We start from the raw sequence: 18537 nt of genomic DNA, 5'->3' as shown, positions 1-18537 counted from the left end.
CAGAGCGCTTTGTAGGGACGTGGCAGTGGGATCCGTGGTCACTCGCGCCGTGTCAGCAACTGCAGCAGCGGTGTGAGGTGCATGTGCGTTGGTTAGGGTAGGGGTCTGTCAGGAACCTTTGCCTTAGTTTTAATAGGCACTATAAGGGAGCAAAATATTTTGGCGTTGTATTTTGGGCTGCAATCCAGCAGGTGGCGCTTAAGACTGTTAGCGGAGAGGTTCTTAGTACACTGTATGACTCTTGTGTGTTTTGGTGCGGTTAGCAGTAGTGGTATGTTGTGAGGAGGGAGAGAGGTGACCCCCTCACCTGGTCTACTCCTGGGCCTTGGAGGTGCCCCCTCCGATTATAGGCACCGTGCTTGCATTTTTTTTGTTGGGCATTCTGGTCCACAAGGCTCCCTCAGGCAGGGGCCACATTTGGCAGGCAGGTCGTATCCTTGTCAGGTGGGCCCTGTAGAGGGAGGCACACCTCGTTCCTCCACCAACCACCCTAGGAACCCAGGTGTCACATTTCACAGTGATCTGAGAATGAGGGCTCCCACCTGCTTTAGCACTGCCCACACCCTCAAATCCTGCTCAGTTAGGAGCTGCCTGGGTGGGTGGATTCACCTGTTCTGCTATGTAGATGCTTCCTGTGGGGGGAAAGGTGTTGTGCCTTCCTGCAGAGTTCAGGCAGAAGTGGAACCACTGAGCTAAAACCTTTAGCAGGTGTGGCCGGCCTGAATACAGAGATGGGGGTGGTTTGAGTAAAACCACCACCACTCCCTGCCCTCACCCACGCCATCCAGGTGTTTCCAGGGACAACAGGAGGCTTTGCCCACCGGTTGAGTTCAGACAGAGGCAAAACCACTGGGCTGGAAACTCTGGCAAGCGTTCACAGCCTGACTACCAGTGACGTGAGTGGGCGCCCCCTCCCTGCCGTCTGGGGCTTCTCAGGACAACAGGAGGTTGCATGTGTTGATTGAGTTCAGGCAGAAGTGAGATGGCTGATGCTGGAAGCTCTAGTAGGCATTGGCCGCCTGGTTACCAGCAGTGGGAGCAGGCGGAGTCACCCTCCCTGTTGTCTAAGTGCTTCCTAGACAACAGGAGGCTGCACCCCCTGACTGAGTTCAGGCAGGAGCTGAACCACTGGAGTGGAAGCTCCAGCAGTGGTGGAGGTGAGTGGGGTCATCCACCCTGCCCTTTGGGTGTTTCTTGGGACAGCAGGAGGCTGTGCCTTGCTGTCCTGTTGAGCTAGAAGCTCCATCAGGCATTGCCCACCTAACAATGGTGGGGGTAGGTGGGGTTGCCTGCTCTGCCATCAGGGCATTCTGGGCAACAAGAGGCAGTGGGAGTAGCCCAGTTTGGGTAGAAGTGGGATGGCTTGGCCAGAAGCTCGACAGGTCTTTGTCTGGCAAGGGCAGGGCAGAGGAATCTTCCTGCTCCCAGGCACCCTGACTGCAGCCTCTACTGGGGCTATGGTGCTGGTGAAGGTCTATTTCCAGGTCCAAGGATTGTAGAGGTCGAGAATTTGGAGCTATCTCTGCAAAGTCTCTGGGTGACTCTCTGCCTCAGTTTAGAAGCACGGTCCCTGTGTAGAGCATGAATCCCTCTGAGGCCCTCAGTCACTCCCTCATGCTTTCCTACCTTGTGGAGCTTCTCCTGGATCCACATTGATTCCAGATTGGCTGCTGCCCAGCTTTGCTCCTCTTTGCTCTCTGTGTTCACTCGCTGCTGTGAGTCAGTGTTCAATAGCCCTTTTGATTTCTCTCCGTGACAGCAGCACAGGTAATCTGCTTTAAGTCTGCCATCTTGACCCCTCACCTCTTTCTATGATTTGTTTTATTAGTGTTTTATAGTTCTTTTTGTTGAGATCTTTCACTTCCTTGTTTAAGTATATTCCTAGGTATTTTATTGATTTTGTAACTGTTGAACCGTAAATGGGATTGAGTTCTTGATTTGATTCTCAGCTTGGTCATTGGTGTGTAGCAGTACTACTGATTTGTGTACATTAATTTTGTAATCTGAGACTTTACTGAATTCGTTTATCAAATCTAGAAGTCTTTTACTACCTTGAATGGAAGGGTTGAAAATGGACATCTTTGTCTTGTTCCAGTTCTGAGAGCGGAATGTTTTCTACCTTTCCTCATTCAGCACGATATTGGCTGTGGGTTGATATGGCTTTTATTATTTTGGGATATGTTCCTTTATGCCTAGTTTGTTTAGGGTTTTTATTACAAAGAGATGGTAGATTTTATCAAATGTTTTTCTGCATCTATTGAGATGATCATTTGGTTTTTGTTTTCATTCCATTTATGTGGTGAATCACATTTACTGCCTAGCACATATTGAACCACCCCTGCATCCCTGAGATGAAAACTACTTAATCATGGTGAATTATCTTTCTGATGTGCTTTTGGATTCAGTTTGCTAATGTTTTGTTGAGGATTTTTACATCTGTGTTCATTGGGAATATTAATCTGTAGTTTTCTCTTTTTTTTTCTTGTTATGTCCTTTCCTGGCTTTAATATTATGATGATACTGTTTTTGTAGAATGAGTTAGGGAGGATTCCCTTCCTCTTAATTTTTTGGACTAGTTTTAATAAGGTTGGTACAAGTTCTTCTTTGGATGTCTGGTGTAATTCAGCTGTAAATCTATCTGGTCATGGACTTTTGTTGTTGTTGGAAGATATATTTTTATTATTACTGATTCAATCTCACTGCTAGTTATTGGTCGCTTAAGGATTTCTATTTATTCCTGATTTATGCTTAGTAGGTTGTATGTTTCTAGCAATTTATTCATTTACTTTAGACTTTATATTTTGTGTGCATAAAGGTGTTCATAGTAACCTCAAATAATCTTTTATATTTCTGTGATATCAGCTGTAATGTCTCCATTTTCATTCACGATTCAGCTTAACTGAATCTTTTCTTGGTTAATCAATCTAGTGGTTTATCAGTTTTGCATATCTTTTAAAGCACCATTTTGATCCTTTTTATTTGGGGGGGTTCAATTTCATTTAGTTCTGTTCTGATCTTTGTTACTTCTTTTCATCTTCTAGCTTTGGGTTTGGTTTTTTCTCATTTCTCTAGTTCCTTGAAGTGTGAAGTCAGGTTGTCAATTTGTGGTATTTGTGTCTTTTTGATGTAGGAATTTAGTGCTGGAAACTTTCATCTTAGTATTGTTTTTGCTGAATCCCAGAGATTTTAATAACTTGTGTGGCTGTTATTATTAATTGTGAAATTTTTTTAAATTTTCATATTGATTTCATTGTTGACCCAAATATTACTCAGGAGCAAATTGTTTAATTTTCATTTATTTGTATGTTTTTTAGGTTTCCCCTTGGAATTAATTTCTAGTGTTATTTTGCTTGATGGTAGAATATACTTAATATGATTTTGATTATTTAAAACTTACAGAGACTTGTTTTTTGTTGCCAGTCATATGGTCTATCTTGGAAAATTTCTATGTGCTGATGAGAAGAATCTTTATTCTGCAATTTTGTAGTAGAAAGTTCTGTAAATGTCTGTTGGATCCATTTGTTCTAGAGTCTAGTGTTTTTTGTTGACCTTTGTCCTTAGTGATCTGTTTATTACTGTCAGTATAGTGTTGAAGTCCCCCACTATTATTGCTTTGATGTCTATCTCTTTTCTTATATCTAGTACTAATTGTTTTATGAACCTGGGAGCTCTGGAGTTAGAGAATACATATGTACTATTGTTATATCTTCTAGTTAAATTGATTTTTAAATTATTATAGAATAATAATTATCTTTGTCTTTTCTTTTACTATTGTTTCTTTATAGTCATCTTTATCCAATATAAGAATAGCTACTCCTATTCATCTTTGGTTTCTATTTGTATTAAGCATTTTTTTCACCCTTTTACCTAGAGTTTATAAAAATATTTACAACTTAGATGGGTATCTTGAAGACAGCAGATACTTGGTTTTGGTTTCTTAATTCATTCTGCCAATCCATGTCTTTTAAGTGGATAATTTAGACCATTTAGAGTCAACATTAATATTGATATGTGAGGTACAGTTACAATCATCCTGTTGATTGTTATTTAGTTGCTTTATTTTCTTCAATGTGTTACTATTTTATAATTCCCGTGAGCCTTATGCTTTCAGGTGTTTTTATACTGGTGCATATTCACCTTTGGTTTTAATATTTAGAACTCCATTTAACATTTCTTGTAAGGTTGGACTGGTGGTGACAAATACTACCAGCATTTGCTTGTCCAAGAAGGCTTTATGTCTCCTTCAATTATGAAATGTAGTTTTGCTGGATATAAAATTATTGACTGATAGTTACTCTGCTTGAGGAGACTAAAGATAGGTCCCCAAACCTGTCTAGCTTGTAAAGTTTCTGCAAAGAAATCTGCTGTTATTCTGATAGAGCTGTAAGATACAATACAATTCCTCTTCAAAGTTCAGCCTGTTAATTTCCTTGTTCTTTGTTCTCAAACGTAACTTTCTTGTTCTCCATACCTCCTTGCCCCTAGTTACTGTAAACAATCTCCTGTCAGAGCTAATCAATAACTCACATCTGTTCCCTTGGTTACTCACTCTGCACCCATTCCTCCCACCAAAACTTCACTTCCCACCACTGTAACTCACCTTCCGCTTCCCCCTTCCTTATTTAGGAAAAATATTCACAAGAAGCCAATAGGGTCAGTTTAGATTGTGCAGTTCGACCCCAGCCCATGGGAGAGTGGCACAGAGGTAGGCACTACGCCTCCGAGATAAAAAGCCTTTCCCTCCTTTGTTCGGTGTGCTTTTGCAATCATAATTGACACAGGGAGCACCCTTCTGCAGAAGTAAATTGCCTTGCTGAAAAAAACTTCCCTGAGTGCTGGTTTCACTTTGCGACACCAAGCATTTACTTCCAATAATTTCTTGGGGCTTGTCCAGGATTCCCATTCTCCCCTGGGGAAGGGGTCTATGGTCACCTCTCATGAGGAGGCACATCCCACTGTCTCGTTGTGGTGGCCTCAAGGTGAGGGATCAGGTCCCCCCCACCAACTGGTGTGACAAATAAACCCGGACCCTCAACAACATGGGGAGGAAAAGGCTTGCAACACCACGGCAACCAGGTAACTCTGTGCACAGACCAAGGTAAGAAACGTCACAAGGTGACAAAGTATTTCCTCGGTGGTTGGGATATTCTGGAGGTTGAAAGTGTGTGTGAATGATCACAAGCACTACTGCTTGTGGTGCTGCTTGTGTGAATGGTTCTAAGCACTACTGCTCTGCAGAGTGAGTGGGTCCTATCAGTGGCTCCATGGTCACCTCATACGGCTTAGGGCGGATCCTGCCATGGGGTTTATACAGGCACACCAATGCCAACAGGCACTTAAATTCCCCTTGAGGAAGGGGCTAGAGTGGACAAAGCAAAAGAAGTGTGCAAGGAGCCTCCAGTGGGTGGGGCTAAAGGATAGGCAAGAAATCTCTAATATGAGGAATTGAGCCTTAACAAGCCCCAAGGGAAGAATAGGCAAGAAATCTCTAATACAAGGGATTGAGCCCCAGCAAGCCTTCAGAGACAGATAGGCAATTAGTCTCTAGCATGAGGGATTGAGCCTAACTGGACCCAATATGGGAAATACCCCCAAGCAAGACAGAATAAAAAGGATAAAGATAGTAATAAAGATATTCCCCCGATAGTCCCCTAGGACTCATGTTAAAATATTGGAAAGATAATGAGAGAACTAAACATAAGAAAAAGCAACAAGTGATAAAATATTGCTGTTTTATTTGGACTCAGGGACCCATCCTCAAACCTTCAATCTTCTGGCCAAAGTTTGGGTCAAATGAGGATGTGATGTGCCAACTTCTAATTCAACATGTAAGTGATAAAAGTCTGGTTTCTCAGGAATAACTGGACTGTGCTCTTTGTTGGAGGCAGGGACCTATCTTCCTTTTTCCCTTAAAGACAATTAGGGAAAAATTAAATCAAGAACATCAAAATTAAGAGTCAAAAAAACCAATTCCTGGGCCTAAAGAATCCAGCATATGGGATCCTCTAGACCATCTTCCCTCGCTCAGTTCTCCTAACCCTTCCCCTCAGGCAGCCACTGCTGTCCCAGTTCAAACTCCAGATCCCTCCCCTGCTCACATTATTCCTCCTCCTTACAATCCAGATTGTTGGGAATCTTATACCATGAACCTATTTCTTCTCAGCCAAAGTACCCTTCCCCAAAAGACTCCATCATGGGATAGAACAATGTAAAAACGATATTCAAAATGTCCCACTTCCCTCCACACCTAAGGAGTCAGCCTCAACTCTCTTCCCCTAAAAAGAGGTGCCACAAGGAGGAGGAGCTATTGGCTTTGTGAATCCTCCCTTAACCAGGTCAAGAATTCCAAAGTTTAAAAAAGGAACTTAAGCCATTTTTGGATGACCCTTATGGGGTGGCAGATCCAGTTTATCAATTTTGGGAACCTAAGTTGTACACTTGGGTCGAGTTAATGTTCATCCTAGGCATCCTCTTTTCAGGGGAGGAAAGAAGCATGATCCATAGGGCTATTATGGCAATTTGGGAATGTGAACACCCTCTTGATCAAAACATTCCTACTGCAGATGAAAAGTTTCCTGCCCAAGACTCCTGGTGGGACAATAATAATGCAGCTTGACAGGAAAATATGCAATACCTAGGGAAATAATAGTGAAGAGAATTAGGGAATCAGTACCCCGAACCCAAAACCTCTCTAAAGCACTTGATGTATAACAGGAAAAAGATAAAGGGCCTATGAAATTTCTAGACAGACTAACAGATCAAATGAAACAATATGTAGGCCTAAATTTGGAAGATCCCCTTAACAAGGAATGTTAAAGCTCCACTTCATAACTAAAAGTTGGCCAGATACTTCAAGAAAGTTATGAAAATTAGAAGATTAGGAGAACCGACTACTAAGTGAACTTCTCAGAGAAACTCAAAAAGTGTATGTGAGAAAAGACAAAGAGAAGCAGAAACAAAAGGCAAAATTTATGGTATCCACTTTCCTACAGGTGGCTTCAAACCCACATGCTTCTAAACAAAGCTTCCAGGGGGCCAGAAACTATAAAGGGTCCAGACCCCTATTTAAAGCACCCAAGCGACTGTCTAGATTACCCAGGCCCTCTTTACCAGCCCCTCTACAGAATATGGGGGGAGGGCACAGTGGCAGAATCCCAGGACCGAGAGAGAAGGACAGGATAGGTGCTACAAATGTGGAAGGACAGACCATTTCAAGAGAGAATATCCTGAATTAGAAAAGGAAAAGAAGCCCTTCCACTCATGACTTTTGGGGAAGAATAGGGGGGTCAGGGGCTCTGTTTCTTTTACCTCAAGTCCTACCAAGAGCCCTTGATAAATTTAGACGTGGGACCCAAACATGAGTTTATCACCTTCTTAGTTGATTCAGGGGTGGCTCACTCCTCTGTTTATTTCCCTCCATCCAACATTGCCTGTTCTTCAAAAGAACTTTGGTCTCTGGGTTAAAACGACAAGGATTTCAAGCAAAAGTCATAGAAAGTACGGTTAAATCACAAGATTGATTAACTCATATCCATTTTTTGTTGATTCCTGAAACAGGAATTAATCTATTAGGAAGAGACTTAAATCCTAAAATTTGGTATAGGTCTATAAGTTAGCCCTAAATGATTCCTTACTTCATTAAACCTACTCACTACTGCAAATGAAAAACATATTAACCCCAATGTCTGTTCAAGGGAAGGAAACTGAGGGATACTCTGAATCCTTCCAATCCACATCAAGCTAAAAACCCCCAGGGAAGTGGTAAGGAGGAAACAATACCCCATTCCCCTAGAGGAAAGAATAGGGTTAAAGGCCATAATTGAAAGTCTTATCAAAGATAGGCTTCTTGAACCCTGTATGTCCCCTTATAACACTCCAATATTGCCAGTCAAGAAATCAGACCAGTCATACTTACTGGTACAAGATCTCAGAGCCATCAATCATATAGTCCAAACTATGAATCCTGTTGTCCCCAGCCCATACACCATTCTCAGGAAAGTTCCATATAAGCATCAGTGGTTTACAGTAATACATTGAAAAGATGCCTTCTGGGCATGCCCCTTGGCTGAAGACAGCTGAGACATATTTGCTTTCGAGTGGGAGGATCCCCATTCAGGGGCATAAACAACAGTATCGATGGACAGTTTTACCTCAAGGGTTTACAGACTCCCCAAACCTTTATGGTGAAATTTTAAAACAAGTGTTGAAAAAAGTGGCTGTCCCAAATCAAATATGCCTGCTCCAGTACATGGATAATATTCTCATATCTGGTGAGGATATAGAGAAAGCAGCTGGCTTCTCTACACATATGCTTAACCATCTGGAGTTCGAGGGGTTATGAGTTTCAAAGGGAAATCTTCAGTATATGGAGCCCAAAGTTGAATATTTAGGCCACTTAATAAGTGCAGGTAAGCGAAGAATAGGGCCTGAATGAGTTGAAGGCCTCGTGTCCTTACCCTTACCCCAAACTAAGCAAGAACTCAGCAAATTTTTAGGGTTAGTTGGGTACTGCTGCTTATGGATTGACTCATATGCACTAAACAGTAAACTTCTATACCAAAAACTTGCCCAGGAACAACCTGACCGTCTCCTGTGGATGTCTGAGGAAGGCGATCAGGTTGAAGAACTAAAAGAAAGGCTCATAACCACCTCTGCCCTAGCCTTCCCTTCCCTAGAAAAACCATTCCACATTTTGTTATGTAAATAATGGAGTAGCTTTGGGGGTGCTTACCCAAAAAAATGGTGGCCGCTGGCAGCCTGTAGCCTTACTATCAAAAGTTTTGGACCCAGTCACATGTGGATGGGTTCAATGCATCCAATCCATTGAGCTACAGAAATATTAATTGAAGAAAGTAGAAAATTAACTTTTGGGGGGAAATGGACTGTAAAAACAGCCCACCAAATTAGAGCAATTTTAAATCAAAAAGCAGAAAGGTGACTCCAGAATCTTAAAATATGAGGCCATTTTACTAGAAAAAGATGATTTAACCTTGACTACTGATAATTCACTCAACCCAGCAGGTTTCTTGACAGGAGACCCAAATCTAAAAAGAAATTACTTATGTCTAGATTTAATTGACCACCAAACAAAGGTCAGGACAGATCTAGGAGAAACTCCTTTCAAAACAGGGCAACACTTATTTATAGATGGTTCCTCCCAAGTAAATAAAGGAGAAAGGCATAATGGGTATTCAGTAATTGATGGAGAAACTATTGAAAAAACAGAATCAAAGAGGTTGCCCAACAGTTGGTCTGCCCAATCTTGTGTATTATTTGCACTCAGCCAGGCTTTAAAATGCTTACAAAACAAGGAAGGAACTATTTATACTGATTCTAAGTATGTCTTGGAGTAGCACATACATTTGGAAAAATTTGGGCTAAGCCAGGTCTTATTAATAGTAAAGGCCAAAATCTTGCCCACGAAATGCTAATTGTCCATATTTTAAACAATCTTCAGCTGTCAGAAGAAATGGCCATTGTACATGTACTTGGACACAAGAAAGACTTTTCCTTTACAAGTCAAGGAAATAGCCTTGCAGATAAAGTAGCCAAACGCACTGCCGTTTCATCTGAAATACCTATCTCTCACTTAACTCCTTGTCTTCCTTCCCTTGCTGCAACCCCTGTCTTCTCTGCTACAGAAAAGGAAAAATTAATAAGAATAGGAGCCAAAGAAAATTCACAAGGAAAATGGGTGTTACCAGATCAAAGAGAAATGCTATCCAAACCCCTCATGAGAGAAATCTTGTCTCACTTGCATCAAGGGACACACTGGGGACCCCAAGGCATGTGTGATGCAGTTCTCAGGGTTTATGGGTGTATAGGAATTTATACCCTAGCCAAAAAAGTTACAGACAGTTGCTTAATATGTAAGAAAACCAACAAACAAGTTATTAAAAAATCACACCTGGGGGGAGGGATCCAGGCCTAAGACCATTCCAAAGTGTTCAAATTGACTATATTGAAATGCCCCCAATAGTTCATCTAAAGTACTTATTAGTGATAGTAGATCACCTCACTCACTGGGTCGAAGCTATTCCCTTTTCCAATGCAATAGCCAATAATGTAGTTGAAGCATTAACTGAAAATATAGTACCCAGGTTTGGACTAATAGAAAATATTGACTCAGATAATGGAACCCAGTTCACAGTGTATGTCATTAAAAAGTTATCCTAAGCACTAGACATTAGATGAGAGTATCATACTCCTTGGCACCCACCTTTATCAAGGAGAGTAGAAAGGATGAATCAAACCTTAAAGAGCCACATAACCAAATTAGTTCTAGAGTCTTGGTTGCCATGGACAAAATGTCTTCCTGTTGCCTTCTTAAGAATCCAAACTGCTCCTCAGAAAGATATTGGCCTCTCTCCTCATGAGATGCTCTATGGATTGCCTTATTTACACTCCACTGCTGACATCTCTACGTTTAAAATGAAAGAGCAACTCCTCAGGAATTATATACTTGGTCTCTCCTCTGCTTTCTGTTTTCTTAAAACCAAAAGTCTCCTAGCACAGGCGCCACCTCTGAAGTTTCCGATGCATCAACATCAGCCTGGGGATCACATCCTCATCAAAACGTGGAAAGAGGAAAAACTTGAGCTGGCCTGGGAAGGGCCTTACCTGGTACTTCTAACTACTGAAACTGCAGTCCAGACAGCAGGAAAAGGATGGACCCTTCACACCCAAGTCAAGTAAGCACCACCACCTCAGGAGTCATGGGCCATTATCACAGGGGAATACTCCCTCAAACTAAAGCTAAAAAAAGTTTAACACTCTTCCATCTATTTTATTACTCTTTCTTCTTTGCCCTTTCTATTGCTGACCACCTTGTTATCAATGTAACTAAATCAAACTCACCCCCAGTTATTATGTTTGATGCTTGTTTAGTCATAACCTATAGAGATCTCCAAAGTCAGAGGTAACTCTCAGCCTCAGAAAAGTATCTCTGCCCCTTTAAAATAACAGACTCCACCTACCAAGACTCTTGCGCCTTAACAAATGCAGGAAAACAGATCTGTCATAGCTGGAATGATGTTCTGTGGACAACCGAGTATCAAGGCTGGACCTCATCTACAGGTGGTTGTATATCCTTAAAACCATGCATTCACTTTACTAAAGAAAGAATCCAGTGCAAATTTCTATTCTCATTACCACGTCTACCGACCCTAGCCCTACTTTGAGTCACTTCTATGGCATAGGAGCCAACTTGCCTGGCACAGACCTCATAGGGTCTTTTGAAATGTGTTTTTATTAATCCCTCATCCTGTTTGCCCCCTTCCCTCTCTTCTCCTTCTGAGCTTTCTTCTAATCAGACGGCCATCCCTTCTATATCCAATGATAATACTAAAGCAAATATTGTAGAAGTAAATTATCTAAGGTAAACTTTAACAATTGAAACAGTATATCAACATATAAATTCCTGGTTGGAATGAATCAAATATTCCATCCACACATTAAACAAGAGCAATTGTTATGCTTGTGTGCACGGCCTCCAGAGGCCCAGATTGTCCCCTTTCCACTTGAATGGTCTCCCAGTAGAGCACACATGGGCTGCATGAAAGCTCTCCCACAGGATTCTATGGCTTGGGACAATAAATCATGCCAAGCTCTCTCTCTGCTATATCCCGAAGTCCAACACCCTGCGGATCGGCCCCCGAGGGCCATCCAGCTTCCATCTCCCAACGTCAATTTCACCTCATGTCTCTCATGACAAGGGGAGAACTTGGCGTTCCTTGAAAACTTAATGAGATGTAATGAGCTTAAGCCCTTCTAAGAGCTTACCTATCAGTCTACCGTTAGACGTCCTCAAGTGGATGTATGGTGGTATTATGGTAGACCCTTACTGGATACTCTGTGAAGTAACTGGAGCGGCACTTGCGTTCTTGTCCAATTGACTATCCCTTTCACCCTGATATTTCATTAGCCAGATAAAGAAAAATCACAACACTGTAAAATAAGAAAAGCCCCTATGGGTCTTTTGACTCTGAAGTTTATTTGGATGTAATTGAAGTCCCACAGGGAGTACCTAATAAACTCAAAGCCTGAGACCAAATAGCTGTAGGATTTGAATCAGTATTTCCATGGGTAACTATTAATAAAAATATAGACCAGATAAATTAAATCTATTATAACCAACAGTGATTTATTAATTACACTAGAGATGCTGTCAAAGTAATAGCCAAGCAATTAGGGCCTGTTAGCCAAATGGCTTGGGAAAACACAGTAGCCCTAGAAATGATGTTAGCTGAAAATGTGGAGTTTGAGTTATGACTAAAACTCAGTGTTGTACCTTCATCCCAAACAATACTGCCCCTGATGAAAACATAACAAAGCCTTCACAAGGACTTACCACTTTATCCAATGAACTAGCTAGAAATTCTGGAGTCGATTACCCTTTTTCAGGATGACTAGAAAAATGGTTCGGTAATGGAAAGGAATAGCGGCTTCAATTCTCACTTCTCTTGAAGTCATAATAGGTGTACTCATTCTTGTTGGGTGTTGTATTATACCATACACCCATGGGCTAGTACAAAGGCTTGTAGAAATGGCACTTACTAAAACTTCTCTTAGTTCTCCTCCACCTTATTCAGATAAGCTTTTCCTTTTAGAGGATCAAGTTGAACAACAAAGCAAAGATATGTTAAAAAGGTTTGAAGAGGAAGAACTATAAAAATTAGAAGGGGGGAATTCTAGGATACAATAAAATTCCTCTTCAAAGGTTCATCCTGTTAATTCCTTGTTCTTTGTTCTCAAACCTAACTTTCTTGTTCTCCGTGCCTCCTTGCCCCTAGTTACTATAAACAACCTTCTCATCAGTGCTAATCAATAACTCACATCTGTTACCTTGGTTATTCACTCTGTACCCATTCCTCCCACCAAAACTGCACATCCAACCACTGTAACTCACTTTCCCTTTCCCACTTCCTTATTTGGGTAAAATATTCGCAAATAGCCAATTGGGTCAGCTTAGACTGTGCGGTTTAACACCAGCCCATGGGGGAGTAACACAGATGTAGGAACTACACCTCAGAAATAAAAACCCCTTCCCTCCTTTGTTCAGTGTGCTCTTGTTATCATGATTGACACAGGCAGCACCATTCTGCAGAAGTAAATTGCCTTTCTGAAAAAGAACTTTTGCCTGAGGGCAGGTTTCATTTTGCGGCACTGAGCATTTACTTCCAACTGAGCTTCTTTTGTAAGTTATCTGGTGGTTTTCCTCACTGCTCTTATAATTCATTCCTTCACATTGACTTTAGATAACCTGATGATATATGCTTTGGTGATGTCATTTGTGCAATGAATTTCCTCGGAGTTCTTTGAGTTTCTTGTATTTGCATGTCTGAATTTCTAGCAAGACCAAATAACTTTTTCTTATTTTCTGAAATAGGTTGTGCAGACATTTTGCTTTATCTTCTCCTTCAGGAAGACCTATGATTCTTAGGTTTGGACATTTTACATAGTCTCACATTTTTTGTACACTTTGTTCACTTCTTTTAATTCTTTTCTCTTTATTTTAGTCTGATCAGGTTAATCTGAAAGCCTTGTCTTCAAGCTTTGGAATTATTTCTTCTACTTGGTTTACTGTACTGTTAAAATTTTCCACTATATTTTGTAATCCCCAAAATGTATCTTTCATTTCCAGAAGTTCTGATTTTTCATATTGCTGATTTTTCATATTGCTGGTTACTTCTTATTTGAGTAGACTATTTCTTATTTTTTTAACTTTATTTTTGATTTGACTGGGTTTCTTTAAAAATATTTTTTCCTTTGAAGATGTGACTTTAATGTACAGTTTATGTTGACCTAGCTTTGGCTCTGAATGCTTTCCATGGTAGAGACTCTGTATTAATTCCTTGGTTATAGATAATCATTTTGTGATGGCTTTCTCTGATGCTGGTTGTATTAACAATGTCCTTGGTGTGTGAACAGGCTCACTGTCTCTTGTGGGGCTGGAAAGGCAGAGGTATCATGAAGCTTATCTTATCTCCCAGTGGTGTACACTTTTAAAATTTTTTTCTAGTTTAGTTTTCACCGGGTTAACGAGTTTGGCATCAACCTGGTGAAAACTAAACTGGAAACCGGTCCATGGTTTAGTAGGAGGTGGCCAAGGCTAAAATTTTGTTGTGGCTGAAGTAGGTGGATATATTCAATACCTCAATGGTGGGAAAAGTTCACAGCCTTGACAGTGGTGGTTGGGGGAGCACTCATTGAAATACATTCAGGTCTTTTTGAGGGGAAGGGAGAAAGCCACCTCCTCTCCTCTTTCAGAACAGTAAGAAAGCTGTCTGCCTCCACATTATGCACTTGTCTCATTGTTCTGGCTATTCATATCAGATAGGTGCCTCTTTCCAGATTCAGGAATGCTGATGTTCCTTGTAGAGCGAGATTGTTACTGTACTCCTCATACAAGCCTGAGCTTGGAGGGCACTCATGTTGTGGGGATGCAGTCACCTCTAAGTGCTCCGGAAAGGCTACGTATGGGCGGACCCATGCCGAGTTCCTGTGGGAGAAACCGCAGCTGTGTACGCAGTGGTGGTAAGGAGGAGATAAAGTCTCCTCCAAATTTCTTCATGAGTATTTGGGCTGCCCAACTACTGCGTAGAACTGCAGTCCTTCCTCACCGAGACCAGCACTACACTTGTGACTCTGCTGAAAGAAACTTCCCACAAGCAGAAAGTTCTGGGACTCAAGTCCTGTACTCTGGTTTCTTTTGTGCCACAGGGTGCTCCCTTGATGTGGTGCACTCCCACTTCTCCTAGGAATGGTGGTCCCTGAGGGCCAGACTACTGTGAATGCTGCTGCTCTTCTGAGTCTAGGTGCCTGGTAGGGCTTCCACATTCCAGGTGGTGCTGGGGAATATCTACAAGGGATCCAATGTTATTAAGGTACAAGGGTTGAATGTCCTTAAATAGAACAAGGTCCCTCAGTGAGAGTGCATTCAGTATGGTATATGCTATTACAGCTTAGATTCAGAGGGAAAGGGAAAAAGCATTGTGTAAACAAAGGTAATGCCCTCAGAAAGTCCCCAAATTATAGCCCACTGTAATTCTGCTCACAAAAGCAAAGAAGCTCTCCTTGAGCTCATATATCAGTAGTCTACTGCAAGAGCTAGAGAGGTCAAGAGCACTCTCACCTATCCTTTCCATGGATTGCTAAGTTTTTCAGGGTTTGATTTCTGTTCGATCCCTGTGAGCTTGTTACTTCCTTTGTATATGTGTTTGTTGTAGATTCTTCCAGTGAACTTTCCTATAGAGTCTAGCACTCTCCCTTTACCAATTCATTTGGACTCTGATTATTCACCAGTAATTTGATTCTGCCTTCTGAGAAGAATTGGTCACTAGCATCTCTTGTTAGTCAACTGGGGAAGCTCTCTGCTGCCTCAGGTTGTGGACTGGTTTGCAGGGTGTGCAGTGGCTGGGTTCTGCGCTTAGCTCCAGAGAGAGGCAATGTTGGGTGGAGCTGGATCAAGTTTTCCTGTCCTCTGGTTTCCTCGCAGTCAGTGCAAGCACTAGCTCCGATGGGGGTGGCAGAGTGATGATATTAACTCTATGATTTTCTTCATTATAAATGGCTTTATTGTGGTGGTTTTCTCAAATGTCAGCTGTAGTATTAATGTACTGGGCACATGGACAGACTCAAGACCTTCTGATTAGCCAGGGTGATGTAGGCAATGGTGTTAGCACAGGTTGTCCAAAAGTTTTTGGCTTCCTGGATACTGTGTTGTTGTGCCAGCAGATGCAGTAATGGGTTGTGCTGGTTGGCCTTTAGCCATAAAGTGGCACTTGCAGGAAAGAGCCAGCTGTCGTGGTGGCTGTTGGATTTGTGCTTGGCTTATGTTACCCAGGGGAAGTACTCATGTGTCTCAGGCAATTGGGAAGGGCCATGGACCTACCAAGATCTCTGTCCATCTTGACCAGGTGAAGCCTGGGTCAAGAAAGTTTATGCTCTGGCTCCTTACGTGTGGGTGCAAGCAGTAGCCACAGTGAGGATCGGAGGGAGGTTCTCTGGCTGCTGGGGTAATGTTCCAGAGAGGAGCAAGCTACCTCTGTTGCACAGAAATGGGAGAGAGGGTATCAGATGGCAATAAGACCCACCCAGCTCCCACTCCCTCTACAAGGTAGGTCTCACACCTGCAGTATTCTGCTGGCAAGAGCTAACTGGATCCCAAGCAGCCTGTTCTCAGGATGCAAAACTGCCTCGGACCACAAGCCTTCCCACCCGCGGTAAAAACCATGGCTTTTAGGCCAAGCCGCTCCTGGTTTGCCTGGAAAGCAGGAGCTCCCAGCTCCTGTACCCATGATAAGAGCACACTTTTCACTCACTCCTTAGTTCTGGCCAATGGGATTTACCTTCACCTGAGATTAGATTACAAATGTCAATTGGGAGCTTCTGTCTGTGACTGCCACCTGAGTGAGCTGGCTGACTTCTGCAAGGTCAGGAATGGCTTCCCTCTTTCCCCACTGGGGTCTGGGAGTGCATACAAAGCATTTTCTGATGCAGCTCCTTCTCATGTGTTCCCGACTGCTCACCAAATACGCTCCAGTGCTGGGTAGGGTTGAGGAGCTCCCCTGTGACCTGGACTGCCCACCTCCCAGATGAGAGTGAGCATCGCAGAGGCAGTCTCTCCTCGTTTCATGCTCTGGACAGAAAGTTTTCTGCCTGGCTCACTGCTGCCCATCATTTCTTTCAAAGTGTCTGTTGTTTCTTTCAGGTTTCTGTTGAATCTCTGTGTTGCTTCTTAGATAAATGTTCACAGTGTGAATCTCTACACACTGTTTTGCTCTTTCTAAGCAGGTAAGACATGCTAACAAAGCCTCTGGTCCACCGTCTTGGAGTTAAAACAAACAAATCAACAAAACGTGCTTTTCTAGCAGCTAGTATAACAATATCTAGTAAATAATGTTGAAAGTTGGTCTCATGGAGAACACATTGTCTCTTATTCTGAAAATACCCATTTGAATTTCTTATGGGACATCAGCAGCAAACAAGTAATTTCTTGGGATGCTTGGGAGAAACTCTAGTCTAACAATCCATTCTTTCATTTTTCGTTATTAACAAAACACAGATTTTTGCCCTGGAGGGCAATGAGCTCAACCAGAAATTATTTTCTTTTCCTTTGCTGTTATAAGGGGGCATGTGATGAATTCCTAATCAGAGGGGCAGAATTGGAGAACTATAGCATGTTTCTAAAAAATCTTTTAATTTTTCTGGTAAATAAAAAAGATAAGTTGGCACTAGCCTTCTTACTGTCTTGAGTACTGTACTTTACTGTACTGTCTTGAGATGGACAAGTATTCTAAGCTGCAATAGCCTTGTTGTCTATTAACCAAGTTTCCCTCATCTAGATGCATAGGTAATTGATATGAAGAATGTGGCTTCCTTTATCCTTCTCTCCTCAGCCAAGTTAATAGATGCTTATTGAACTGAATCAAGGCTTTAGAATTCAGAGAATGTGACTCTGTTTATTTAGGCTTAATATCTAGATAAGAACCTCAGCACACTTTCTTCCAACACTTAAAAGTACATTTTGTGTTTTGTTTTGTTCCTTTTTTGGTCAAGTTACTTAGGTAGGACAGGGACAACAGACAACAGGCAGCAAGGGGGAAGCAATTTTTTAAATATTTGTTTGGACAGCAACTGACTGACTTTCTCAAACATTATTTCTTTCTTTCAGATTTTCATACTTTCATGCATCAAAAGATGTATATGGCTAGTGGAAGAGAAAAAAAGTAAACTACAAAGAAGGATGGGTCAAAAGATAAAGATAACTGCCTAACAAATGTGTATGTCTTTATCATGATCTTAATAAAACTTACAATGTAGATAACATGTAATATAGAATTGTCATAATGCAATTACTATGGTTGAAAATACTATGATTTCTTGCCTGAAACCATGACTCTTACTTTCCATCTCTTTGTGAAGTTCCACTTCACATATACACACAATCTCAATACTTACTCAAACATATCAAAGATACAACACTGCTGCTACTGCTACTATTTATAAGTTTACTGTTCCTACATTATTTTTCCATCTAGTGTTTCAGTTAATCTTGTCAACAACTCAAGTAAAAATGATAAATCTCACAAGTTCAAAAATTAGGAGTAAAAAGTATATGTATTCATAAATGAGAATTGTGATATTCTAGTTGGATTTTATATAAAACTTTAGAAGATAGCTTGTGATTTAAATAACACAATCAATAGACTTGTAAAGCTGTACAATACCTAAAAACTGAATAAACAACATGGATTTCCAGAGTGTCAAATGACGTGGATGAAAATTTTTGGCTTACGTGAATTTTAGTTGACCAAAGAAGGGAGTGAGCCTTTTTCTTTTTTTTCTTTTTTTTTTTTTTTTTGAGAAAGAGTCTCACTCTGTCGCCCAGGCTGGAGTGCAGTGGCACAATCTTGGCAGGAGTGAGCCCTTTTTAATTATCAGGAGCCATGCCAGTAACTTCGAGGGAATATGAGTATTGTTTGTGCTGCAGAATGTCTATAATATGTACGAGGGTTGTTTGAGGAGTCAGCATGT

General features: G+C 41.5%; 1 annotated feature.

Moving 5' to 3' along the window:
- Positions 289-348: an enhancer, noted in NCBI's record as "active region_26220". NCBI's record gives its function as "activates an Ori minimal core promoter by ATAC-STARR-seq in GM12878 lymphoblastoid cells {active_cell/tissue: GM12878}" and the evidence as "EXISTENCE:reporter gene assay evidence [ECO:0000049][PMID:35858748]".

Source organism: Homo sapiens, chromosome 7 (assembly GCF_000001405.40).
Source record: "Homo sapiens chromosome 7, GRCh38.p14 Primary Assembly".
Taxonomy (NCBI): Eukaryota; Metazoa; Chordata; class Mammalia; order Primates; family Hominidae; genus Homo; species Homo sapiens.
This window is presented reverse-complemented; position numbering and strand designations above follow the sequence as displayed.